The sequence below is a fragment of the Homo sapiens genome, chromosome 5 (assembly GCF_000001405.40).
Source record: "Homo sapiens chromosome 5, GRCh38.p14 Primary Assembly".
NCBI lineage: Eukaryota > Metazoa > Chordata > Mammalia > Primates > Hominidae > Homo > Homo sapiens.
In genome coordinates this window covers 94146355-94173865 of record NC_000005.10, presented here as the reverse complement: position 1 = coordinate 94173865, position 27511 = coordinate 94146355, and the positions used below count along the sequence as shown (strand labels likewise).

Sequence of the window (27511 nt, the reverse complement as noted above, 5' to 3'; positions counted from 1 at the left end):
GAAGCTCTATGTTGCTTTCCCTGTTCTGAGGCTTGCCCTGCCCACATAAGGGTCTCTACTTCACTTCTCTAAGTGTGGTGGATTGTATTTTCTAAAGATGATGGCAGCAGTACACCTACCCACCCATATACTATTTTAAAACCTTGCCATGCCCCCATCAAGAGGTGGAGCCTCGTTTTCCTCCCCTTGAATCTGAGAGCTGATGACTCCTTTGTAACCAATAGAATACTATAGAAGTGGTACTATATGAATTTCAAGGCTGGACCATAAAAAGCAGTGCAGCTTCTGAACTGAGACACTGCTCTTGGAACACTGAGCTGTTAGGTCAGAAGTCCAAACAACGGGGAGCTGCCATGTTATGAGGAAGCCCAGGCCATATGGAAAGACTAAGTGTAGATTCTCCTGGTGACCATGTTAGCTGAGGGTCCCTCAGATAGCCAACATCACCCACTAGATATGTGAATAAAGATGCCTCAGATGAGTGTCTCCCAATCTTTGAATCTCTTTCAGACATCCTGGAGTAGAGACAAACTCTTCCCACTGTGACCTTTCCAATGGCTTTATTGTGCAATAGTAACTGTAACATTAAGAGAAGTATTAAGCAGAAACCCTGAGAAGACAGCCAGGCATCTTTTCTCACTCCCTAGTTTCCTATGGTATTTGCCCTGGTAACAGCATCTTTTCTCACTCCCTAGTTTCCTATGGTATTTGCCCTGGTAACAGAAAGAGCATGATATAGAAGTGTCGCTAATTGTCTCACACTTGCTTAATCTATTTTTATAAATTAAAATAGTTATTTTCTGTAAATTATTCAATAATTTAACTTTATTACTAAAAATAATAGCTTCATATCTAGAAAGCAAGGTATTATGAGGGACAGTAAAATACCAACCCTGATTTATGAGGTATCTCTCATGTGCCAAGCACACTGCCAAATCTTTTCCTAAATTACCTTAATCTTCACAATAACCTTACAAATTAGGTATTATGATCCTTATTTGAAGATGAAAAAACTGAGGCCAATATGAGGTTAATTTACATTACTCAAGATCAGCATAGTGAATCTAACCTGGCTCTAAAATTTCATACACCTTCTACCACATTGCATTTGAGCAACGAAAAGCAGACCGTAAGTATAGTAGGTCCATAGATGTTAGTTCAAAGCCAAAAAAAAAATCATGAGTCAAACAAAATTCTAGAAACAATCATTTACCTAAATATTGATAAGCCTTCTAACTTAAAGAAGCTTGCTCTCTATATATTGCCAGACAAAACTGTGGGTCATTTTGACTACAAACATATGAGATACTGTGAGCCAGAACTAACCAACTAAGTCACTCAAAAACTGTGTGAATCAATAAATGTTTATTGTTTTAAGCTGCTGAGTATTTAGGGGATAATCTGTTAAGCAGTAATGAATAACTAATACTTAGTCTATGAGATCTCTCTGCAGTCAATCTGTATGTAGCCAGTCAATAGCTCTGCATTCTGAAGTTACACTATATAAGCAACTATCCATACATTTTGCAAAACTGATAGTTCTGACCCTAAGCCCTGGGGCCATCAGTCTATTATAGCAGCTAGTATGACATGGTTATAATGAATTTCAGACAAGTAATCAAGGGTCCTGAGTTCAAGTCCAAGATTGACCAGTGACAAACTGTACTCTCTGGGCATCAGTTTCTGTAAAATGGAGGAGTACACAGAAGATCTCTAATACTTTTTCCACTCTAATTTACTTTAATTCTATAATTGTTATCTTCATATAATTATTTCCATCTGTTTTATTATTATATGTCTTTTAACTCTAAAGCAAAATATTTCCCCAACGTCTGAGAATCTCATGTCACTATCTTCAGCGTGGAATCCTAATGAGACATTCAATGTTCAAATACATTGAGGCGCATTATCATGTATCTTTTTTGTTTTTTTCTCTGCATATACTAGGATGTCTTAAGGATCCTTCTGTTTTATCTGCACTCTCTCAGTATCTTCTACCAAAAAAGGGGGATAAGTGCATTTCTTTCACTTATTTTCATTGGCTACAGTAAATCATCACATTGCCACTACCACCTTCAAGGGAACAGGAAAGAGTCCAGAAAGAAGAGAATTACAATAATGGCAAACAATCTTAATTAAACAATCTTAATTATGGAGGTATTAATTAAATACCTCCATAATTAGTAAAATACATGCATGGGTCAAGAAAGTTTTTAAAGCTAGATTTTGTTTTGAAAAAAAGTTAATTCTGCTGACATTTTCCTGAAGATGGGTCATTCACTTAACAAATATTTATTGGGTACCTATTACTTGCCAAACAATGTTCCAGGCACTAAGGACAATGTGGTAAACATGATAAACAAGGTCTCTACCCTCATACAACTTACATTCAAGTTGATATCAAAGTTATTTTACAAAAATTCAAAGGCATTTGCACTCTGTATTAGTCTGTTTCCACACAGCTGATAAAGACATACCCGAGACTGGGAAGAAAAAGAGGTTTAATGGACTTACAGTTCCACAAGGCTGGGGAGGCCTCACAATCATGGTGGAAGGAGCAAGTCACGTCTTACAAGGATGGCGGCAGGCAAAAGAAGAGCTTGTACAGGGAACCTCCTGTTTTTAAAACCATCTGACCTTGTGTGAGACTCATTCACTATCATGAGAACAGCATAGGAAAGACCTGCACCCATAATTCAATCACCTCCCACCAAGTTCCTCCCATGACATGTGGGAATTGTGGGAGTTACAATTCAAGATGAGATTTGGGTGGGGACACAGCAAACCATATCACACTCCTATCAAAATTTCAGTCCACTGATGTTGGTGCTGGTTCTGAATGATTCAGAGGGATTTTTGGCTCCTTAGGCCACTCTTTTTGTGTAATTTAATGCTTCTGTTTACCAAATCATTTGACCTTTCTGACCCATCAAAACATAGTGAGATGAAAGCATGTCATATTCCATGAATGATGTGATGAGCACACATTCCATGTAAAATTCAGTTCTTTTGTTCAAGAGTGCTCTTCTCCCAATTCCTTGGGGCTGGTATGATAGGCAGAAAGATCACTTTGTGATCCAGGGCCTGTTTTGTGACATTGGAAGTTACTTACTTCTCTAAGCCTCAGCTCCCCATAATCCCCCAACATTGTAGTGTTTTGTAAGCTTTGAATGAAGCTTTCATTTTCATTTTGTTCCAGCTTTCTTCCTTTTGGCCTATCTTGGGAATAGTTACAGTCTATATGTACAGCAGACTGTCAGCCTTCTAGCCACATTACCTGCCTACTTGATGCCACTGAGCCAGACTTGCCTCTCAACCTCCTTGATGCAGCATGAACTTGGAGAAAGCAGTACTTCTCGTTAGTTCCCCCAGGAGTAAGGAAAGGAATAAAAGAATGGGTCTCATCATCCCCAAGTAGCAAAAATGATAATAAGTATTTTGAGACATTCCTAATCTGCCACCACTGTGAAAGTAATGTTTTCTCAAGTGGATCTGAAACTCCATGAGAGTAGTTCATGTTTCACTATTGTTTTCGTTTTGTTTTGTTTTGTTTTGTTTTGTTTTTTTGAGATGGAGTCTTGCTCTGTCGCCCAGGCTGCAGTGCAGTGGCGTGATCTTGGCTCACTGCAAGCTCTGTCTCCTGGGTTCACGCCATTCTCCTGCCTCAGCCTGCAGAGTAGCTGGGACTACAGGCACCCGCCACCATGCCTGGCTTATTTTTTGTATTTTTAGTAGAGACGGGGTTTCACCGTGTTAGCCAGGATGGTCTTGATCTCCTGACCTCGTGAACTGCCCGCCTCGACCTCCCAATCACTATTGTTATATGAAACATAGAGACTTAGAGAGAGATAGCTTACGTGGGAGATGTACCCTTATGGGTAAGAGCATTAGCTCTGGATCCAGTTGCTTGGGTTAGAATCCTGGCTGCACCACTGACCAGGGACTTTGGGTAATTCCTGGTCTGTAGCAATAATAATAGTTAACCCATCTCATAAAATTGTGAGGGCTAAATGAATTGATATATGCAAAGTACTCAGAATAGAGCCTCAAAGAAATTGCAGTTGCTAAATAAGTATTAGCTGTTATTACTGATATTATTACATGCTCCAAACCCCTACAGTGCTCCGAACATAGTCATTCAGTAAATAATTGAATTCCTGAAAGAATGAAAGGAATGAACTTTGGGATCTTTATGAATATGAACATATAGGCAGTGACTCGATGAAGAGTAAAGGCACCATCAACCATACAAAGTTGTCATTTTCTCCTGAATTCTAGATCTTTTTTTTTTTTTTTTTTTCTGTCACCCAGGCTGGACTGCAGTGGCACCACCTTGGCTCACTGTAACCTCTGCCTCCCGGGCTCAAGTGATTCTCCCGCCTCAGCCTCCCAAAATGCTGGGATTACAGGCATGTGCCACCATGCCCCGCTAATTTTTGTATTTTCAGTAGAGACAGGGTTTCACCATGTTGCCCAGACTGGTCTTGAACTCCTGACCTCAGGTGATCCACCTGCCTCAGCCTCCCAAAGTGCTGAGATTACAGGCATGAACCATTGCACCCTGCCAGTTTTAAATTTTTTAACTTCTTAGTCAATTTCAATCAAAATATGAGTCAGGCCTATATTTCAAATCCTTTTCTAAACACAATATTACTGTTAGTTGGAATGACAGAATTGTAAACAGGCTCTTTAGCTAATAGACTGTGTGTTTCTAAATGATACTTTTATTCAGATTCTCATTTCCAGAAGAGGTTAGTGCATGGTTGGCCTTGTGACAACTGTGTTGTCTAAACAATTGGTTTTGTCTTTACACAGGCTAGTAAAATCACCCTCAATTTTTGATAACTTTAGATTTGTAAATATGTAATCCTTTTCTTGATGAAAAAGGAAATGTTTTTATCATTTTTAGAGCAAGAGCAGTATTGCTTGACACAGTTTAAGTATCTTTTAATGTAACAGTTAAATATATGGAATAAACACCAAGTGTCTATAGAGCATAGTCCATGAAAATTTCCAGATATATCAAGTTTAACAGGAAAAAAATACACCTTTTCTTTTGATTCATTAAATTATACCTTACTCTGAAGAAAATCAGCAATATGGTTCTGGCAGTATATAGTAGTCCTGACACTTCTCTTAGTAAGGGACATTTTTCTACCTCACCACTAAATGCTGGACAAATAGTATGACCTTGGCCTTCTATCTAAACTCTTAAAATTGTTTAAGATCCACTGGTGGAAATGAAGTCTCTAAGGAGATGTGGATGATTTACTGATAACAGAAAAGGTTCAGATTCCATTACTACTGATGGCTGTGCTTCCGTTTATGTTTTCCCTAAGCCATAACTATTTAAAATGTTACTGTTAGCATTCTTATTTGTCTCATTTGTTGGTATATAACTCTCCTACTTAAATATATAGAACAAATCATATTAATTAAAATAAATTGCTTGGACAGTTAAGTTGTCCTGCAGATTGTCTCCGAAGGCTATAAATTCAGATTAAGGGTTTTGTTGCTTGTTCCTGAGCTTGGAAAGATTCCTTTTACTGCATTAGTAGTAGCTCAAGAAATCAACAACCTTGCAAAAGAACAGTCATTTGAATTCTTGCAGAAATAGCTGGATAAACTGCATATATAGCTAGTTATCATAATCATATAACAAAATCTTGGCTTAAGCAAGCAAACAAATTACTAATTCATGATGGCAAGTGTTGATATATAATAGTATTGAGTTTGGACATAATTATATGTATTTCTATGTATTTTAAAAATATACATTTATGTATGTTTATATCTATTATATTTATTTCTATGTATTTCTATATATTTTATTATATATATATTAAATTGGGTTTCGGGGGTTCTAAGTAGTGTACCATAGTAGCAAATTGTGAGATATTTTTGTAAAATAAACAAATAAACTTCATTTTCTGGATATTAAAGCATTCAATTAGGTCAAAATAAATTGTGGGGAGTGGGAATAACTTACTCTGCCTATTTCAAGAAAAGCCTATGTTTTGTAACTTCTAAAGGCAAAGATGTGACTACCATTTATAGTATTCTATAAAAATTTAATGTCCTTTGCATTTCATGGAACCTCTGTAATATTAAAAAAGAATAGCCCAATCTATCATTAAATTTGAAAATAAAGTAGAACAAATAAATTATATTCTTAACTTTTATTTGACCTTTTAGTGTGGGTATATTTCCTTTTACCTACTTAAGGAAAATTAACATTTTCCTTTTTCCTACTGGAGTTTCCCCAAAACTAATACACCTTAATTAGCTTGAGGAAATAACTAAAGTGAAGTAGAAATAAGGTTGTAAAGATCTCTCTGATCTCTTAGCAAAGTGAGATTTTTGCCATCCATTTATTCCCAAAAGCTGCTACTGAAAACATGTAAGGCCTTGTAACTCCCTTATAAAACCCCTGCTATTTAACTACTTTAGAGATTCAGTACAAAGTTCAGAGGAAAACAAAACTATTAAAGTGTTGAAAATTACAACCTATACAGAAATTTTAAACAACTCTATTTTTGAGAAGATAAATCAACTTTCGAGTTACCTAAAAAGAACAATGTTGATTTCTCAATTTCTGCTAACGTATGCTAAAGGGGATGGACTGAAACTATGCATATTTCTTAAAACATGGGTTTTAAAACATTAGGCAAAAGCTTTTGTGGATTTTCATCATCCGGAGAACGTATCAGAAAGAGGGTAGGTCTCATCCGATTACCTGTCTTCAAGGGAAGAAACTGACGTTAATCCTATGGTTTTTCTTGGGGTGAGGAGGGGGGTGTAATGGAGTTACTAAAAAATTGTGCCATTTAAATTCAAGATGAATATTCTGGTTTGTAATGGATTTCCCACTACTATTCCTGAATCATAATACTCATAACGTTATTCTCAAATACAGGATAGTTTTATATCTGTCCCTTCTCTAAGGCTTTTGCTTTGGGACTATAGAACATCATATTCTATAGTTTCCAATCTTACCATATAATTTAATAATGATTTTATTACTCAAAAAAAGTTATACTGCTTTCTGTCATTAATGTTGCTGCCTTTCCAATGAGTCAAGAAGGACATGAGCACTTTGGGAGGCTGAGGCAGGTGGATCACCTGAGGTTAGGAGTTCAAGACCAGCCTGGCCAACATGGTGAAACCCCGTCTCTACTAAAAATACAAAAATTAGCTGGGCATGGTGGTGCGTGCCTGTAATCCCAGCTACTCAGGAGGCTGAGGCAGGAGAATGGCGTGAACCCGGGAGGCGGAGTTTGCAGTGAGCCGAGATCATGCCACTGCACTCCAGACTGGGTGACAGAGCGAGATTCCATCTCAAAAAAAAAAAAAAAAAAAAACAACCAAGAGGAAGGACATGAATTATTTCCTAAGGCTACCCCCAGATTGCTTCATGAGGCAAGGAAGAAATACCTGAATTACGTATTTCCTGCCAACAAATTACTAAAATGAAGCCTAAGAAAACAGCACTGATGCCTTTTATTACCACTGACATTTCATACTAAACTGAAATACTGTACACAATCTTTAAAGGATTTTGAATATGGATTTAGAATAATTATTTAGTTCAGTCCATATAATGAACGCTCTCTGTCTGAATGATCTCCCTGAGGACAAAACCATATTCAGCTCTTCTCACTACTGTTGCCTAGCACAGTGGTTTTTTGTTTCGTTTTGTTTTATTTTGTTTTTTAATTTTTGTGGCTACATAGGTGTATATATTTATGGGGTACATGAGATGTTATGATACAGGCATGTAATGTGAAATAAGCACATCATGGGGAATTGGTATCCATTCCCTCAAGCATTTATCCTTTGAGTTACAAACAATCCAATTACACTCTTAGTTATTTTAAAATGTACAATTAAGGTTTTATAAACTATAGTCACAATATTGTGCTATCAAATAGTAGGTCTTATTCATTGTTTCTAACTAGTTTTTGTACCCATTAACTATACCCACCTCACCCTCAGCCCCTCACTACTCTTCCCAGCCTCTGGTAACCATCTTTCTACTCTCTATGTCCATGAGTTCAATTGTTTTGATTTTTAGATACCACAAATAAGTGAGAACATGTGATGTTTGTCTTTCCGTGCCTGGCTTATTTCACTTAACATAATGATCTCCAGTTCCATCCGTGCTGTTGCAAATGACAGGATCTCATTCTTTTTTATGGTCAAATATTACTCCATTGTGTATATGTACCACATTTTCTTTATCCATTTATCTATTGTTGGACGCTTAAGTTGCTTCCAAATCTTTGTAAGCAGTGCTGCAATGAACATAGGAGTATAGATATCTCTTTGATATGCTGATTTCCTTTCCTTTGGGTATATACCCAGCAGTGGGATTGCTGGATCATATGGTAGCTCTATTTTTAGTTTTTTGAGGAACCTCCAACTGTTTTCCTTAGGGGTTATATTAATTTACACCCCCACTAACAGTGTACAAGGGTTCCCTTTTCTCTATATCCTCGCCAGCATTTGTTATTGCCTGTCTTTGGGATATAAGCCATTTTAACTGGCATGAGATGATATCTCATTGTAATTTTGATTTGCATTTCTCTAATGATCAATGATGCTGAGCACCTTTTCATATACCTGTTTGCCATTGGTATGTCTTTTGAAAAATTTCTATTCAAATCTTTTCCATCTTTTGATCAGATTATTAGACTTTTTTTCTGTAGAGTTGTTTGAACTCCTTATATATTCTGATTATTAATCCCTTTTCAGAAGAGTAGTGTGCAAATATTTTCTCCCATTCTGTGGGTTGTCTCTTTGCTTTGTTGATTGTATCCTTTGCTGTCCAGAAGCTTTTTAACTTGTTTTGATCCCATTTGTCAATTTTCGCTTTGGTTGCCTGTGCTTGTGGGGTATTGTTCAAGAAATCTTTAGCCAGACTAATGTCCTGGAGATTTTCCCCAATGTTTTCTTGTAGTAGTTTCATAGCTTGAGGTCTTATATTTTATGTCTTTAATCCATTTTGATTTGATTTTTTTATATGGCGAGAGATGGGGGTCTAGTTTCATTCTTCTGTATATGAATATCCAGTTTTCCCAGCACCATTTATTGAAGAGACTGTCTTTTCCCCAGTGCATGTTCTTAGAACCTTTGTTAAAAATGAGTTCACTAAGGCCGGGCACGTGTGGCTCACACCTGTAATCCCAGCACTTTGGGAGGCTGAGGCAGGCAGATCACGAGGTCAGGAGATGAAGACCATCCTGGCTAACACGGTGAAACCCCATCTCTACTAAAAATACAAAAAATTAGCCGGACGTGGTGGCACGCGTCTGTAGTCCCAGCTACTCAGGAAACTAAGGCAGGAGAATCACTTGAACCTGGGAGGCAGAGGTTGCAGTGAGCCAAGATCGCTCCACTGCACTCCAGCCTGGGCAACAGAGTGAGACTCTGTCTAAAAAAAAAAAAAAATAAGTTCACTGTAGGTGTGTGGATTGTTTCTGAGTTCTCTATTCTGTTCCATTAGTCTATGTGTCTTTTTTATGCTAATACCATACTGTTTTGGTTACTATACCTCTGTAATATAATTTGAAGTCAGATAATATGATTCCTCCAGTTTTGTTCTTTTTGTGTAGGATTGTTTTGGCTATTTTGGCTCTTTTGTGGTTCCATATAAACTTTAGGATTGTTTTGTTTTATTTCTATAAGGAATGTCATTGGTATTTTGATAGGGATTGCACTGAATCTAGATTAGCTCAATGTTTTAAACCCAGCAGGCTCTCAAATGTTTGCTAGATAAATAAGCAAGTTAATTACATATGGCAAAACTCTGTTCTAAAATGTGACTCATTGTGATACATATTAAATAGAATACAAACTAAGGTTGATCTCTCAAAACATAAGCTATACATGCTAAAGTTCAATATAACAAGTAATTTTTAAGGCCTTCTAATTTCATTCTTATAACAAGAGTCCATTACAATTAATTTCCTACCATTACCATTTATTGAGACAGTTTCCCAGAGTTTATGCTCATTTGGGTCAGTCTTCTATTTATTCTATATATACAACACCATATTTTAAGAAATGGTATAATCTGAAAGTGTTGTCTGAGTCATGAAAGATAAATTTAAATTGATTTAGTTAGTATTATGTATTTTGATCCCTTAAAAATTGAGGACCTAAATATTGTTATACTCAGTTAATTACATTAACCAGAATGGAAACGTGAATGGTTATATTTTACTGATGACTAAATTAAGAGGGCTTTGCTGATTTATACAGTTTCTCAGAATTAACTATAATAACATCCTCTTTACATCAAAGCTGGTTATGATAATTAAAATGACAGCCCTTTTTTGATAGTTCTACTCTATGCCTTTGAGGAGCTCCTAAACTGATAGAAGAAGCAAGGCAATCAACAACCAGAGACCCAAGTGAGATGATGATATAAAGTTACATACTAAAGAAAAAAGTGGTGGTAAAGAAAGTCGGAAGAAGGAAAAGGTTATTGGGATCAATCAAATTAAATTAAACATTTAGTTTTTGGTGTCACATCACCAGAAATTAAATGTTTAAATAGTGACCTACAAAAGGTCTCATTCCAGTGTGATATGTGACCTAAATTAAGTACTTTGCTAAGCAAAGTTTGTTTAAAGCCTTTTTACATTGGTCAAAAATACTAGTCAGGTACCAAATAACTGAAATTACTGAATATCTTTTTTCTTTATACCACTATCTCATTTTTAAAAAGGTTGTGAGTATAGTTAGTAAATAAATGAACTTGCAGGAAGTTGTTGCCTTTTGGTAAGGTCACTGAATTTTAGACTTTAAGAAACAAATAGTGATACAAAAACTAAGGATGGGTAAATTGATTTTAATGCTCTAAGAGCCATCATATTCATCATTCATAAAATTGACAAATAATACCTTTTGAGATATCAGCTACTACTCAATACTGGTAGTGAAAAGTTATTATTTCTTCATTCCACCCAAGAATAACATAGTAACACTTGAACTTCTAACACATACCAATCAACAGATATCTTGCCAGTGCTTAAAAGGTACAGATTACAGTGTACAAAACACTAAACTATTAGTTATTTGAAATATGCTACTTGAGCCAAACTAAGATATTTGTACATTGTAAGGGGTGGGAAGCACTTGAGTAGGGGACAGAACAGGTTTGTTTTTTTGTTTGGGAGAAGAAATAACATGACATCTATCTGCAATTTCTCTGAATCATGGAGAGCCAAGTAATGTTATTATTCTGTGATCATTAAATAGCATAACCAGACCAGGAATGGTAGCTGACACTTATAATCCCAATGCTTTGGGATGCCAAGGCAGGAGGATTGCTTGAGGCCAGCCTGGGCAACAAAGTGAGACCTCTTCTCTACAGAAAAATGCTTAAAAAAAAAATAGGTGGCCACGGTGGTGCACACCTGTAGTCCTAGCTACCTGGGAGGCTGAGGCAGGACAATCGCTGGAACCCAGCAGTTTGAGGCTATAATGAACTATGATCATGCCACTGCACTCCAGCCTGGGCAACAGAGTGAGACCATGATTCTAAAAAAAAATCATAACCAAATACTTTCTGAATTTGCTTCCAATTGCGTTCCCTGGAGAAAGTTTTCATAGAAAAGTAACCATCTATTCCAGATGTCCTGTGTCCTACCCTTCTCTATCCTTATCATTTATATCTCTGGAAATGATAAGTAACCTATAGATTCTTTAAAAGTATCAAGTTAAGAAGGATGTAAATGCTGAGAAATAAGACGAAGCAGAGATTGTATGCAGGGCAAGCCATACTGGTGTCATTTAGAGGCTGAATCAAGAACAGAAGAATCCACTCTTCCTACACTTTCCAATGCTTACTAAAAGCTGAATTAAGTGGCCTCAGCTTGGGTGGCATTTTCTTGCTTCTAACAACATAACTTGAGCAGCAGCATTTAAAATATCCTCACTCTGCCATGTTTATTAAAAGCAAATGATAACAAAGATGACATGAATGTGAAAAGGTCAATTTCTGTGTGTTTGTTTTTGCATTTGTCATATTATAAGAGAAAACTGTTAATAGTTGATAAATATGTTCAAAAACATTCCTGAGGCTCATAAAAATAAATCCATCTCTTTTCTATTTGAAAAAGAAAATATGTTATTTCAAATAAAATATTTGAAACAAAAGCTACAGATAACGAAGTCTTCTTCAACAAACTGCAAGTATAGATGAAAAGATACATGTGAAAAAAAATTTAATGCAACAATGAAATAACAGCTCAAGAAAGTAATAGAAAAGATGTAACAAAGCAGTATGTGGTTAATTGACCAAAATTGACCTAATATCCATAAGCACAGACATTAGATACTATAGGACTCAAAGGAAAAGGATGATCACACATTAGTCTTAGGTAGTTGGGAAGTTCTCCATGAAAAAGGTGGGCTGTAGACTGGGTCTGAAGAAGGATGAGCAGGTTTGGGGTAGGTGGAAAGGCATTTCATGTGGGTGGAACAGCAAAAGTAGAAGTGCAAACACAACTGGGAAAACACAATGCGTGAGAAAATAAGGAAAATAATTTTCTCCCTAGGGGAGGTAGTAGCAGCTAAACAGAACTGCTGCTACCAAGCTAGAACAATAAAGACTTTAAACTCTCTAGGCAGGGCAGTCATTGCTGGTTTGATGTAGCAGTAGCGTGAGTCTTTGGATCTGGATATCTGGAGATTATCGCACTGTCCAGACACTGAAATCATGTGTACCTGTGGACTAATGGCAGTGGGGTATGCATGAATGTGAGAATGTTTGCAGAGTAAGTTGTCTCTTAACTGGTGACAGACTGTGTGAACAAGATTGGGAGTCGTGGCATAAAATACTTTGTGAACAACAATTGGATATGTGGGGCTTTCCAAGGGAGAAGAGAAGATGGTCTAGGACTGATCCTGAGAAAAGCTCACATGTACAGAACAGCAGAAAGAAGGAAACAGAGACATTACTTTCCCCTCTGATTTGAACCTCCCTCTGAAAAACCAGTCTGCACTGTACAATGTGGAGAGACAGACAACAAGGATTTTTCTTGAAGAATAAAATCCAATATGACTTTACTCTTCACTGTTTGGACTCTGTGTTATTGAGGGAGAAGGGGGTAATGGTCAGTTTGAATAATTTAAATATACAGACATATATTATATATTAAATATACATACATGTATATAGTAAATATACATACATACAGTATATATTTAATATACACACATACAGTATATATTTAATATGTATATATTAAATATACATACATACAGTATATATTTAATATATACACATACAGTATTTATACTTAACATACATATATGTATGTATATTATATATACTGATGCATATATGTGTATATATACAGTATACAGATATGTACTATATACAGATATGCAGATATATACAGAAATGTACTATATACATATATACTGTATACATATGTATACTGTATACATATATTACTGTATTCATATATGTACATATATGAATACAGTATATATATTTAATATTGATATAATTGGAGTGTGAGTAAAAATGGCCATCAAGAATTGAATTGAGAGAACTTAGGACAAAAACAAAGTTTAAAGATGCTGAATTACATACAGCTTGGGACAGAGCTGAATTACAGATGTGAGAAAACAACTGGATATGTGGGGCTTTCCAAGGGAGAAGAGAAGATGGTCTAGGACTGACCCTGAGAAAAGCTCACATGTACAGAACAGCAGAAAGAAGGTAACAGAGACATTACTTTCCCCTCTGATTTGAACCTCCCTCTGAAAAACCAGTCTGCACTGTGCAATGTGGAGGAGAGACAGACAACAAGGATTTTTCTTGAATAAAATCCAATATGACTTTACTCTTCACTCCTCAGCTATATATTGGTAGAACAATTTGAAATCATTTATTTGGCCAGATGACTAATGTTGTTTAACACTACAATTAACTAATAAATAATTGTAAAGCACTTTGTAAATATAAAGTGCTACATAAATGTTTCATAATAACATTAAACAGGAGGCTTAAGTTACATTTTTATATTCAAGTATTTTATTGGTTATCGCAGGAGAAATACCAAAAATATGATCAAATGCCATTATTACAGTCTGTGTTTGAAAAATACAGCAAAGTGATTATAGGAAAACAAAAACAACCTTGGCCATGCTAGGGTGAACAGAGTAGTAGACTAGCATGAAACATTTCCCTCATGAAAAACAAGAGGGAATGACAACACGATCATATACATATACATATATACATATATGCAATATTTATTTATTGGAATGTATTTATTGCAATATTATATTATTGATTGATTGATAGAAAAGATAATTTACCAGATAAAACAATGTGAAAGACACAGAACGTGAGAAAGCACATCAAGGTAGGAGCTCTGAGGAAACCACTTGACACAAGTAGAATCTTACAAAATAAGAGTAACGTTCTATGAAGGACTTAAATTTATAGCTCATCCACTATTTACAACAATGCATTGAGATGTATACCACTAGCACCCCCTATGTTGCATATAAGAGAACTGATGCACAGAGAGATTAAGAAATATGTTCAATATCACACAGCTAGTAAGTGGCAGAGTCAGGATTCAAGCCTAGACAGGATGGCTCCCATGTCTACTGGGAGGAATCTGGGAGAGGTTTTATTATCCCGATAAAACAAGACAGGTGGAGCCATACTCTTTCCTCCTGCCTCAGCACGAGGACAGGAAGGCTGAAGCTGCAACAACTGTATTGGGACCATGAGGTAAAGGACAAGAGAACCACAGAGTCATCAGCCCTGCTGTTGTTAAACTACTTAACCTATGCCAGCAATCACCCACCTCTGCATTCTTATTAGATGAGGACAATTATCCCCTATTTGTGTAACTGACCACACCCAGGACTTCTCCTACTTGCAACCTTAACCAATATGCCAAATAATAATAATCATCATCATAATAGTTATCACTTGTTGAGTGCTTGCTATAAACGAGGCATTATTTTATGTTTTATGTGTGTTTAATCTCTTCTACCTCATTCCAACTCTGTGAAGCAGGCACTATTATTATTACCATTCCATAGATAAGGAAACTGAGGCACTGTTTTATCTGGGTTGCCCAAGGCCACACTGCTTATAAGGGATTTAAATCCAGCACCCTAACTTCTAAACCCTCATTCTGCAGCAAATAGTATTCTAAACAGTGAAAGACTAAAACTATTTCAATTAAAAATCAGAAATTAGCTAGGGATTCTTCCTATTTTAGTATACCTATTCTTATTCAATATTATTTGGAGATTCTAAAGCCAATGTTTCTCAGTAGGATATATTGACATTTTGGGAAGACAACTCTTCATTGTGTGGGATTGTTGCACATAAACATGTTGCCATCTGTGTTGTCTAGGTCCTAGGAGAAGTACTCTCTAGACATAGTGTAGTGTCAGCCAAAAATACCCTCCATGTTTCCCCATACGGAGGCAGTGTCACCCCAGTTAAGAACTATCATTCTAGCGCAAATTTGGCAAACTTCCTCCAAAAAAAGTCCAAATAGTAAATATTTTAGGCTTTACAGGACATGCAGTCTTAGTCTGTCTCGATTGCAACTACTAAACTCTGACATTATTGAGTGAGATCAGTCATTGACAGTACATAAACAAATAAGGGGGCCTGTGTTCCAATGTGACCATATTTATACATGAGAAAGAACCCCGAAGCACCAAGGGGTTAAAAAACTTGCCTGGGGTGATTCATCTAGGAAGTTTACATTCATATTCAACACAAAGGCAGAGTGATTCTAGGGCCTGTGCTCTTATTCAGAACACTATTGATTTCAGATATTTTAAATGTTTTTCTCCTAGTAAAAGGAAGGGTAAATGCCTCAAACACCTCACACTCCAGACTCTGGCCCTCCTCATCTGTCTGGTGTTGGCTGCTCCTTCCTGCAGTACAGGCCACCCAAGATTTGCTTCTGTGACAGCCTGGACCAATGCTACCAAGGATATACCTCATGTTTTACTATGCATGTCCCTAAGAGAGGCTCTCCTGGTTGACTCTAACACACAGTCATCCTTGAAACCTCCCCAAATATAAGATTCTATAAAACTGATCACTAGAATAGTTATTCACTGATCTGTGACTGTTTTTATTTTTCACACCTCAAGGTCTCATTGTCGGTGAGCAAAAACAGAAAGGTCTTAGCTCATGGTATGGCACATGGAAAAGCTCTATAATATGTGCTAATATTAATAAAATATACAGAGTAGCAGGCAGATATCTCTGCTTGAGGAATGAATATGTGTGTAAATTCAGGAACATGCATCCAAGCTAAGAACAACCAAGTCAATCAGAGTGGTACAAATGAGCAAAGTTGTAACTGCTGATTCTGTTAGAGTATCTCAGTCTAGGCTTTAGAGTCCCTACTGTGCTTGCCTAGGAAAAGGGACCCATATCTAACCACCTAGGAGCCATACAGATGGAGCCAATTCCAGAAGACAGTTAATATCATGGTACAGATCAGTGGAGTCTCATGAGACTTGACTGCTAATCAGTGTGTAAGACACAGCATAGTCATTGCCACCAGCTGTGGGGCCAGGTTGCAATTCTTCTATAATAGTAGGCAGGTGGGGGAATTCAGCAATAATACAAAAGGGCAGGCTACCAAAATTAGGAAAAACAAAAATATAATTACCTCATAATGCTTTTCTGGAGGAACCAGAATATGCTGCTTCCAACATTTTCTGGTTTCTGTAGGGATATGCTTTTTCCACCACAGATATTAAATATATTAGGGGAAATTAGGAATAAAGATTTTTAACAGATTGTCCATCCAATTATGTTTAACAAATTGGTAGATTCTTTTCTCTTTCAGTATTTTTTTTTTAACAGAATTGACTTGTTGTTTTTGCATTGTGTTAACAAAACCCAAAACCATGATGGAATTAAAGAAAAACTTCGTTAAGAACTTATAGATGTGAAATATAACAATGTTTGTGATAAATACACATTTCAAATCTCTAATGCTTTCATTCAATATGAGTAAAACTATTAAGGAAAATGTAGTTCTAATATTTTTTCATCCATTTTTGTCATCATTTTTTATCCTCTTATGAAATGATTTCTTCTTAATAAGCACAAAGCAAATATAATAAAGTTGTGGTAGGTAAATAACTTTACCTAATATCATTAATTACTAACAGCTCAATTATACTGTGAAGTGCCTATAATTGTCATGAAGCTTCAAAAATCCTTATCATGGATTCTATTATGTATATGATTCATTTAAATTACATTAATTATACAGATTTTAATGAAGCAGAGAGACTACTTTCAATTTTCACAAGTAGACACAATGATCAAAATATTTATGTGCATATCACGTACTTTATTCTGTTGACATTCATAAAATAATTCATTTACTCAGACAATATTAGCACCTTTACATGGGAAGGAAAAAAGGCAAATCTAATTTCTCATGTTTGGATTTAAGATTATATGATCCTTAGATGGTTCTTTTATGTAATATCTAGCACAATTTGGGCAATATTTTTTGGAAAGTAAAATATTTAAACTTTTTGACAGTACTTTATATTAGCTGTAAATGGTTTTTAAGCCACGATTGTTAATTGCATTTGAAAGCCCAGATTCCAGATTCTGACTCTCTGAGTTCAAATACAAAGATACTCAGGCAAGTGATTTTAACATTCTGTACCTCAGTTTAGTAATCTGTAGAACAGCAATAATAACTTTTTAAATTGAGAATTTAAAGAGTGATATCTCAAGTGTTTAAAAGAATGCTTAACCATTAGTTAATGCTATATAAAAGTATTTTCCATTATTTATTTTCCTGCTTGGGAGGAGCTCAATTTGACATGAATATTAGCGATACCCAATTTCACCCACATAAAATGGGTAGGGAGAGCTTTTTATCATTAAAATTCCATGAAAGCAGTGTAAGAAAATCTTGTGGGCTAAATTGTAAAACCCAAAATACTGACTTCCCTTGTGATGTGGCTTTGAATAGTGTGGCAGTGAAAAACTTTTTATCATTCATGTTGTTATTAAAACCTGTTAGACCAATGACCTAACTTCAACCATATGGAAACGTGGAGAAACTAAGGCAGCCAAAAATAGCAGTTTTTAGATCCAGACAAGTTTGAGGCTAGGAAATGAGGAGAATCGTAGGCAGAGGGTGAAGCAGAAATATAAATTGAAACCAGGTGTCACTTTTCAGATAATCCTCTTTCTTCTCTCCATACTTCCCCTCCTTCTTCCTCTCATATATATGACTGCCAGGACTGGCCAGGGCATACTGAACTCAGCACTCCAAAAAGGAAACTAGTATGGGAACAGATATCATACTAGTGGCTCACATCTGTATTCCCAGCACTTTGGGAGGCTGAGGCAGGAGGATCACTTCAGCCCAGGAGGTCAAGATGAGCCTGGGCAACATAGGGGAGACCCTGTCTCTACAAAAAATTAAAAAAATTGGCCAGGCATGGTGGTGTGCACCTATAGCCCCAGCTACTTGGGAGGCTGAGGCAGGAAGATCACTTGATCTCAAGAGGTCAAGCCCGCAGTGAGCCATAGTTGTGCCACTGCACTCCAGCCTGGGTAACAGAGGGAGACCCTGTCTCAAAAAAAAAAAAAAAAAAAAAAGAAAGAAAATACAGTTGCTTTCTTTTCATCACTCAAACAAAACCAGAAAATTCCACCCTAAATTCATGTGTGACAGACTATTTGTTGTCTGGGAGTTTGGATTATAACACAATGAGGGGTTCTGGTTCTGGAGGACATTCAGTGAGTAGCTGCTTGTTTGTTATTAGAAATCCTATCCTGCTGAAGCCTTTATGGCAGAGGATCTTTTAGACTGTATCAGCACTGGCTTTAAAATCCTTTTGTAACAGTACATTATGGTGGACAGCTTAGGTAGGGATAGAAATAAGAGTGAGGATAGGAGAAGGAAACTGTTAGAATGCTGGGTTCAGTATACTCTGGGCAGTCCTGGGCAGTCCTGGGGAGGTGGAGAGAGTGGATAGGAAGGAAGAAGTAAGTGTGCTCGGGTTATTGTGATGATATTTACTTTGCAAGATTATATTTGTATGTATGTAGGTTGAGAGTCTAAGATTTTATTCTGTATCGCTTAATCATCCAGAATTAGAAAGTCTTTAATCTCTTTTTTTAGTAAATGTTCTTTGGAACCTTGCTAACAATTTGCCACTTTTCTAGAGTGGTTGAACTTGATTGCTTCAAATCTGATCTTATTTCAAGAAATACACTGACCTGCCCTTAAGGTATATCCAAGTAACCTCGATGTTCTTCTTTCTGCTAAAGGCTTCCTGGCAAGCCTCCCTGCAACTTACAACCACTAATCTGGTTAATCAGTGAGGGAAAAAATGCTATGAAAAATATTTGCTTATTAGTTGCTAATTCTAGATTTTATTTATATGTGTATTTTCATAGGCCACATACATTCTTGAAATACAGAAACCTCATTTGAAACAATTCTTTAAAAACTTTATCCTGAAGTGGAGCTGATTTCACTCTACTTTTGTCTCCCACTCTCCTGGCCCACTCCGCGGGGGCAGTGCCAATGAATTGTATTACCCAAGAGGCAGTCAGTGAAGAATAAACAGGGAGAGACAGATGACTCAATAAGCCAAGATTACATATTCAAGACTTGATTAACTGAGTGTTGACCTGTGGTTTGAAAGTTACAAAAATGCTAAGATGTGATTTTTCTTTTAGGTGGGAAATGAAGAAGGATGAAACACTAGAAGAGGAAGAAAAAGCAATACTGGAGCACTTAAAACAAATTTGCACCCCACAGAACTCTTCTGCCTCAGATAACATAGAGGAACAGTAATCTGCAGAAAACAGCAACAGCTTTATTTTAGGAAACAATCCCATGTAATGGAGTAGGATTTTTTACCATAGTCAGAATGAACCTCATATGTGCTGTGAAGCATGAAACCAATGACTGAGTAATCTCTGTACTGAAAAGGAATACAGCACATAAAGGATAAGGTGCTACATATTTTTTTATTTTAAAAATAATTTCAAATGTTTTTCTTTCCCCAATCTTTCTCTTTATATGATATAACTGCTGCCATCTCGTGTTCCCTTTGAATTATTTTTTTCTCCTTTCAGTCTTGAAGTATCTATGACAACAGGAAGAAATGTTCAGAAATTTTTTAAAGGATTTTTTAAATACAACATTTGGATGTTAAGTTGAGTGGAGTCACATAGCCCCAGGAGGTCATCTGAAATTTTTAATTTAATTTTGTTGTAGCTGTAGCCCAAGTCCCAATTTTAATTGCCTTTACTATCCACAATTGTGTCAACTTTCCTCATTCAATTTATCTAATTATAGTCAAAAAAAAGCATTCTCCTGAACTATAACTTTAGTCACACCTCTGCTTGTAGTGGTTTTCAGTCTTCCTCCTAAACCAGAATCAAATTTCTACTCATACATATTCAGGTCCTATACCAAATGGCTCCATGTTCAGACAATTGCTTGCCATCCTCTTGGTTCAAGTCACATGCTTGCCATGTTTTCCCAATCAGAATCCATCTTTCTTCCAAAATTAGGCTCAAAACTAATTCCAGCAATCTTTACCCCAAAGCTCATTAGCTCATATAATGTGTTACTTTAAAATTTTTTCATTGTATTGATACACACACACAAAATAAGAAAACAGAACATGCTCTAGTACCCTCTCTGCCAAGGACAATTATAGATATTTATTATTTCCTTCCTATCACTGCCTGATATTAGATTATAAAGACATTGAAGATATTATGATATAATATGAAGTCTCCCTTTATAACTCCCTGTATGCCTACTACAGTGTTATTTCATCAAGTGGACAGTTAACGAACACAATTGATTAAATAGCTGCCAATGAAAGAAAAAGACAACAAAGAGAATTGCATGGTTGGGCAGTCTAAGAACGTCTGGGAGAAACCATATATATATATATATATATATATATATATATATATATATATATATAATTTTTTTTTTTTTTTTTTTTTTTTTTTTTTTTTTCATTTTAGAAACAGGGTCTTGCTCTGTTGCCTGGAATGTAGTGCAGTGGCATGATCATAGTTCAATGTAACCTCAAACTCATAGGCTCAAGCAATACTCCCACCTCAGCCTCCTGAGTAGCTAGAACTACAGGTGCATGCCACCACACCTGGTTAATTTTTTTTAATTTTTTTGTAAAGATGAGGTCTCACTATGTTGCCCAGGCTGGACTTGAACTCCTTGTCTCAAGTGATTCTCCCACCTAGCTAGAACTACAGTTGTGTGCCACCACACCTGGTTAATTTTTAAAATGTTTTTGTAGAGATGGGGTCTCACTATGTTGCCCAGGCTGGACTTGAACTCCCTACCTCAAGTGATCTTCCCCTCTCTGTCTCTCAAAGCCCTGGAACTATAGGCATAAGCCACCACACCAGGCCCAGAAGCCTTACATCATGGGCTATTTTAGACCATATGACATCAAACTTCATGTTTTCTGATGTTCTCAGATATATAATAAATTGTCCATACTCCCACATTCTGTGATTTTTATAAAATATGTGTAGGCTACATGATTTCCAAAGGAAAGTACTCATGCATTTTTCAAAGAGTAAAAGCTTGGGGTGCAGAGGAGGCCACATTAGGAAATCTCTTACATTTTTTCTTTAAATAAAAATACATAAATGGCCATGTAGACAGCTGCCTGCCAAATAACACATTTTATTTTTAAAAAATGTACTTTAGTTGGCCAGTATAATCATAAACCAAGTGTTTTTAAGATTTGGTTGAAGTAATTTCTAAAAATTCTATGAAGACCATTTAGAAAATGGTAGGAAAATTTTATGAGAACTGGACATTCCATCTAATCTGATCTTTAAACAGGTTACTATAACAATCAACATAAGGCAACAGTTGACTTTATTCCTTCAGCTAAGTGGTGGTCTGTGTACTAAATCTGCATAACTGTGCTTCATTAGACAAGATGCAAAAATGGAAAGTTAAAAATAAATTAATCCAATAAACTAGATACAACATCTTATAAAATTACAGGATTTCACATTTGGATTGTCTTCTAATATATCTAAACGTCATCTTTTAAAGCTATTATTATTGAATTCGTATATTCCTGTATTAATCCTGGGAAGTAATTTTGCTCCTCCAGAAAAAATCTTTTCTGTGGCTCCCTTTTGAAAGAAAGGAAGTATAGTAAGGGGAAAATGGGATGAGTTTAAAGGAAGATAAAAGTAGGAGAGAAAGAGGCCTTGCAGTTGAATTCTATTCTGTGCTTGTTCAGTGAAATTATTATAGCCATAAGTGCAATAAAGTTTATAATTGAGAGTATTAGGTGACAAGTCATTGATTTATCAGATTATTTTGACTTTATACTCAATATGTTTTTTTTTTTTTTTTTTTTTTTTTTTTGAGACGGAGTCTCGCTCTGTCGCCCAGGCCGGACTGCGGACTGCAGTGGCGCAATCTCGGCTCACTGCAAGCTCCGCTTCCCGGGTTCACGCCATTCTCCTGCCTCAGCCTCCCGAGTAGCTGGGACTACAGGCGCCCGCCACCGCGCCCGGCTACTTTTTTGTATTTTTAGTAGAGACGGGGTTTCACCTTGTTAGCCAGGATGGTCTCGATCTCCTGACCTCATGATCCACCCGCCTCGGCCTCCCAAAGTGCTGGGATTACAGGCGTGAGCCACCGCGCCCGGCCATGTTTTTTTAAGTATAATAAGAAGTGGTATTTCAAAGCAGTTTTTGTTTCTCACATTTGTGTGAGTTAACAACAGGAATGAAGCCTAACAGTTTATATCTCCCCATATGCTTATTACAAAAATATTATCTTCCTATAAAGTATGATCTTCCTTCTGTGTTCTGCTTAATTGTATTTTTATGTAATTATATAGAGATATCTATTTTATTATTGGTTTAGCAGTTACTATGTGAAAACAGTATGAAATAATTTTTAAATAAATTATAAAGAATATTGTCTATTTCAGATATTTTATATTTTTGTCATCTCTACCAAACACTATTATAGAACTACTAACCAAAGAATGGAAAAAAGAAATCACTTGTTTTGTTTAACAAGATGTGCCTACTCATAATGTCCTATTACCCCAGTTTATATATACCTGGGTCAAAGAAAGTTTCAGGTAGTTCATAATTATCATTCGTTACTGTAAAAAAAATTTAAGATTTTTTAATACCTCCCTTTATAATTGAAATGTTTCATGGAAAAGAAAACAGCTGTATTCAGCCTTAAAAAGAAATGAATTTCTGTCATATGCTGCGACATGGATGAACCTTGATCACATTATGCTAAGTTAAATAAGCCAGTCCCTAAAAGACAAATAACGTGCGATTCCGCTTACATGAGGTATCTAAAGTAGTCAAATGCAGAGAAGCAGAAATTAGATTGGCGGTTACCAGGGGGTGGGGGAGGAGGAAAAGGGGAATGGTTGTTCAAAGGGTATAGAGTTTCAGATTTATAAGATGACAAAGTTCTGGAGATCTGTTTCACAAGAATGTGAATACCCCTAAACTGTATACTTCAACATGGTTGGGAGAGATTGCTGAGAAAGCAGCTTCAAGATGGCTGACTAGCTACTTTGCTACTCACCTCTTCCACAAAGAAGAACAAACATAGCGAGTAGATAACCACACTTCAAATAAATGATCTAAGAGAGAATACTGGAATTCAACAGAGAAGTGTCAGGAAACATTAGAATAAGGAAGGAGAGAGAAGTGAGGCAGCCTGCTCAGCCAGGATTGACTGGAAGCCCAGAGAGACTTCCTGGTTGGGAAAAGGGTGAGAGACCTCTAGCAGTGCACATTCCCACCACAGGCTACTGCAAACCAAGCCAAGGGAGAGTCCTTTGACCCACGTGGGCCCTAAAACCAACATAGGGAGATGCTTGGGGACCAAAATTAGCCAGGCATGGTGGCGCATGCCTGTAATCCCAGATACTCAGGAGGCTGAGGCAGGAAAATCGCTTGAACCCGGGATGCAGAGGTTGCAGTGAGCCGAGATTGCACCACTGCATTCCAGCCTGGGTGACAGAGCAAGACTCCATCTCAAAAAAAATTAATAAATTAATAAATTAATTAAAAATAATCCTATCAAAAATTGGGCGAACATCAATAGACATTTCTCAAAAGAAGACATACAAATGGCCAACAGGTATGTGAAAACATGCTCAACATCACTAATCATCAGGGAAATGCAAATCAAAACCACAATGAGATATCGTCTTACCCCAGTTATAATGACTATTATTAAAAAGATGAAAAACGAGATGTTGGCAAGAATGTGGGGAAAGGGGAACATTTTTTGGCTTATTAGTTTATTTTATTAATTTTGTGGGTACATAGTAGGCATATATATTTATGGGATACATGAGATGTTTTGATATAGGCATGCAATGCACAATAATCACATAATGGAGAATGTAGTATCCATCCCCTCCAGCTTTTATCATTTGTATTGCAAATAATCCAATTACGTCATTTTAGTTATTTTTAAAACGTACAATTAAGTTATTATTGACTATAGTCACCCTGTTGTGCTATCAAATAGTAGGCCTTATCCATTCTTGCTATTTCTTTTGTACCCATTAACCATCCACATGTACCCCTAATCCCCACAACCCTTCCCAGCCTCTAGTAACTGTCCTTCTATTCTCTATGTTTATGCGTTCAATTGTTTTGATTTTTAGATTCCACAAATAAGTGAGAACATGTAATGTTTGTCTTTCTGTGCCCGGATTATTTCACTTACCATAATGATCTCGAGTTCCATCCATGTTGTTGCAAATGATAGAATCTCATTCTTTTTACGGCTAAATAGTACTCCATTGCATATACGTACCATATTTCCTTTATCCGTTTGTCTGTTGATGAACACTTAGGTTGCTGCCAAATCTTAGCTATTGTGAATAATGCTGCAACAAACATGAAGTGCAAATACCTCTTCGATAGACTGAGTTCATCTCTTTTGGATATATACCCAATAGTGGAATTGCTGGATCATATGATAGCTCGATTTTTAGTTTTTTGAGGAATGTCCAAACTGTTCTCCATAGAGGTTGTACTAATTTACATTCCCACCAGCAGTGTATGAGAGTTCCCTCTTCTCCACATCCTCGCCAGCATTTGTTATTGCCTGTTTATTTTCTCTTTTTTTTTTTTTGATATAAGCCATTTTAACTGGGGTGAGATGATATCTCATTGTAGTTTTGATTTGTATTTCTCTGATGATCAATAATGTTGAGCACCTTTTCATATGCCTGTTTGCCAGTTGTATGTCTTCTTTTGAGAAATTTCTATTCAAATATTTTCCCATTTTTTATTGGATTATTAAATTTTTTCCTACAGAATTGTTTGGGCTCCTTATATATTCTGGTTATTAATTCCTTGTGAGATGGGTAGTTTGCAAATATTTTCTACCATTCTGTGGATTGTCTCTTTGCTTTGTTAGTTGTATCCTTTGCTGTGCAGAAGCTTTTTAACTTGTTTTGATCCCGTTTGTCAATTTTTGCTTAGGTTGCCTGTACTTATGGGGTATTACTCAAGAAATCTTTTCCCAGTGCAATGTCCCAGAGAGTTTCTCTAATGTCCTGGAGAGTTTCCTGTAGTAGTTTCATAGTTTGAGGTCTTAGATTTGAATCTTAAATCAATTTTGATTTTATTTTTGCATATGGTGAGAGACGGGGGTCTAGTTTCATTCTTCTGCATATGGATAGCCAGTTTTCCCAGTAGCATTTATTGAAAAGACTATCTTTTCCCCAATGTGTTCTTGGCATCTTTGTCAAAAATAAGTTCACTGTAGGTGTGTGGATTTGTTTCTGGGTTCTCTAATCTGTTTATTGGCCTGTGTGTCTATTTTTATGCCAGTACCACTGCTGTTTGAGTTACTATAACTCTAGTATAATTTGAAGTCAGGTAATGTGATTCCTTCAGTTTTGTTCTTTTTGCTTAAGATAGGTTTGGCTATTCTGGGACTTTTGTGGTTCCATATGAATTTCATGATTCTTTTTTCTATTTCTGTGAAGAATGCCATTGGTATTTTGATAGGGATTCCATCGAACTTGTAGATTGCTTTGGGTACTATGGACATTTTAACAATATTGATTCTTTCAATCCATGAACATATAATATCTTTCCATTATTTTGTGTCCTTTTCAGTTTCTTGCATCCATGTTTTATAATGTTCATAGTAGAGATCTTTAACTTCTTTGGTTATGTTAAACTCCTAGGTATTTAATTTTATGTGTGGCTATTGTAAATGGGATTACTTTTTGGATTTCTTTTTCAGATTGTTCGCTGTTGGCATATAGAAATTCTACTGATTTTTGTATGTTGCTTTTGTATCCTCCAACTTTACTGAATTTATCAGTTCTAATAGGTTTTTTGGTGGAGTCTTTAGGGTTTTTCAAATATAAGATAATATAATCAGCAAACAAGGATAATTTGACTTCCTCCTTTCCAATTTGGATGCCCTTTACATCTTTCTCTTGTCTGATTTCTCTAGCTAGCACTTCCAGTACTATGTTAAATAACAGTACTGAATGTGGGCATCTTTGTCATGTTCTAGATCTTAGAGGAAAGGCTTTCAGTTTTCCCCATTCAGTATGATTACTAGCTGTGGGTCTGTCATATATGGCTATTACTATGTTGAGGTATAGTTTTGGTATTTGGTTTTGGTATTAGGGTAATACCAGTCTCATAGAATGGGTTTGGAACTATTTCCTCCTCCTGTAGTTTTCAGAATAATTTGAGAAGGGTTGATATTAGTTCTTCTTTAATGTTTGGTAAAATTCAGCAGTGAAGCCATTGGATCCCAGGCTTTTCTTTACTGAGAGACTTTTAATTAAGGCTTCAATCTCATTATTTGTTATTGATCTGTTCAGGTTTTAGATTTCTTCCTGGTTCAGTCTTGGTAGGTTGTAGTGTCTGGGAACTTGACCATTTAGATTTTCCAATTCATTTGCATATATTTGCTCATAGTAGCCACTAATGATCCTTTGAATTTCTGCAGTATCAGTTGTAATATCATCTTTTTCTTTTCTGATTTTATTTGTATCTTCTCTCTTTTTTTTCTTAGTCTGCCTAAAGGTTTGTCAATTTTGATAGCTTTTCAAAAAAGGAATTTTTTATTTTATTGATCTTTTGTATTCCTTTTTTCATTTCAGTTTCATTCATTTCTGCTCTGATCTTTCTTATTTCTTTTCTTCTACCAATTTTGGGTTTGGTTTGCTCCTGCTTTTCTTTAAGATTCATCATTAGGTTGTTTATTTGAAGTTTTTCCTCTTTTTTTTTTGATGGAGACACTTATACCTATAAAATTCCCTTTTAGTACTGCTTTTGCTATATCCTATAGGTTTTGGTAGGTTGTGTTTCCATTATCATATGTTTCAAGAAATTTTTCAATTTCCTTCTTAATTTTTTCATTGACCCACTAGTAACTCAGGAGCATATTGTTTAATTTTCATG

The 27511-nt window shown here is 36.1% G+C and overlaps 1 protein-coding gene and 1 long non-coding RNA gene across 7 annotated transcripts in view; one reads left to right on the top strand and one right to left on the bottom strand.

Annotated features, from left to right (window-relative positions):
- Positions 1-23015, top strand: part of KIAA0825 — a 467754-nt gene extending 444739 nt beyond the window's left edge. For all 3 annotated transcript variants that reach the window (NM_001145678.3, NM_001388325.1, NM_001385712.1), the window contains one exon: positions 19742-23015. In NM_001145678.3, coding sequence (NP_001139150.1) covers positions 19742-19859 — 118 coding nt within the window. In that variant the 3' untranslated portion in view covers positions 19860-23015. The remainder of the gene's footprint in view (positions 1-19741) is intronic.
- Positions 1-27511, bottom strand: part of LOC105379087 (uncharacterized) — a 140268-nt gene that overhangs the window by 77994 nt on the left and 34763 nt on the right. The gene's annotated exons all lie outside the window — the stretch shown is intronic.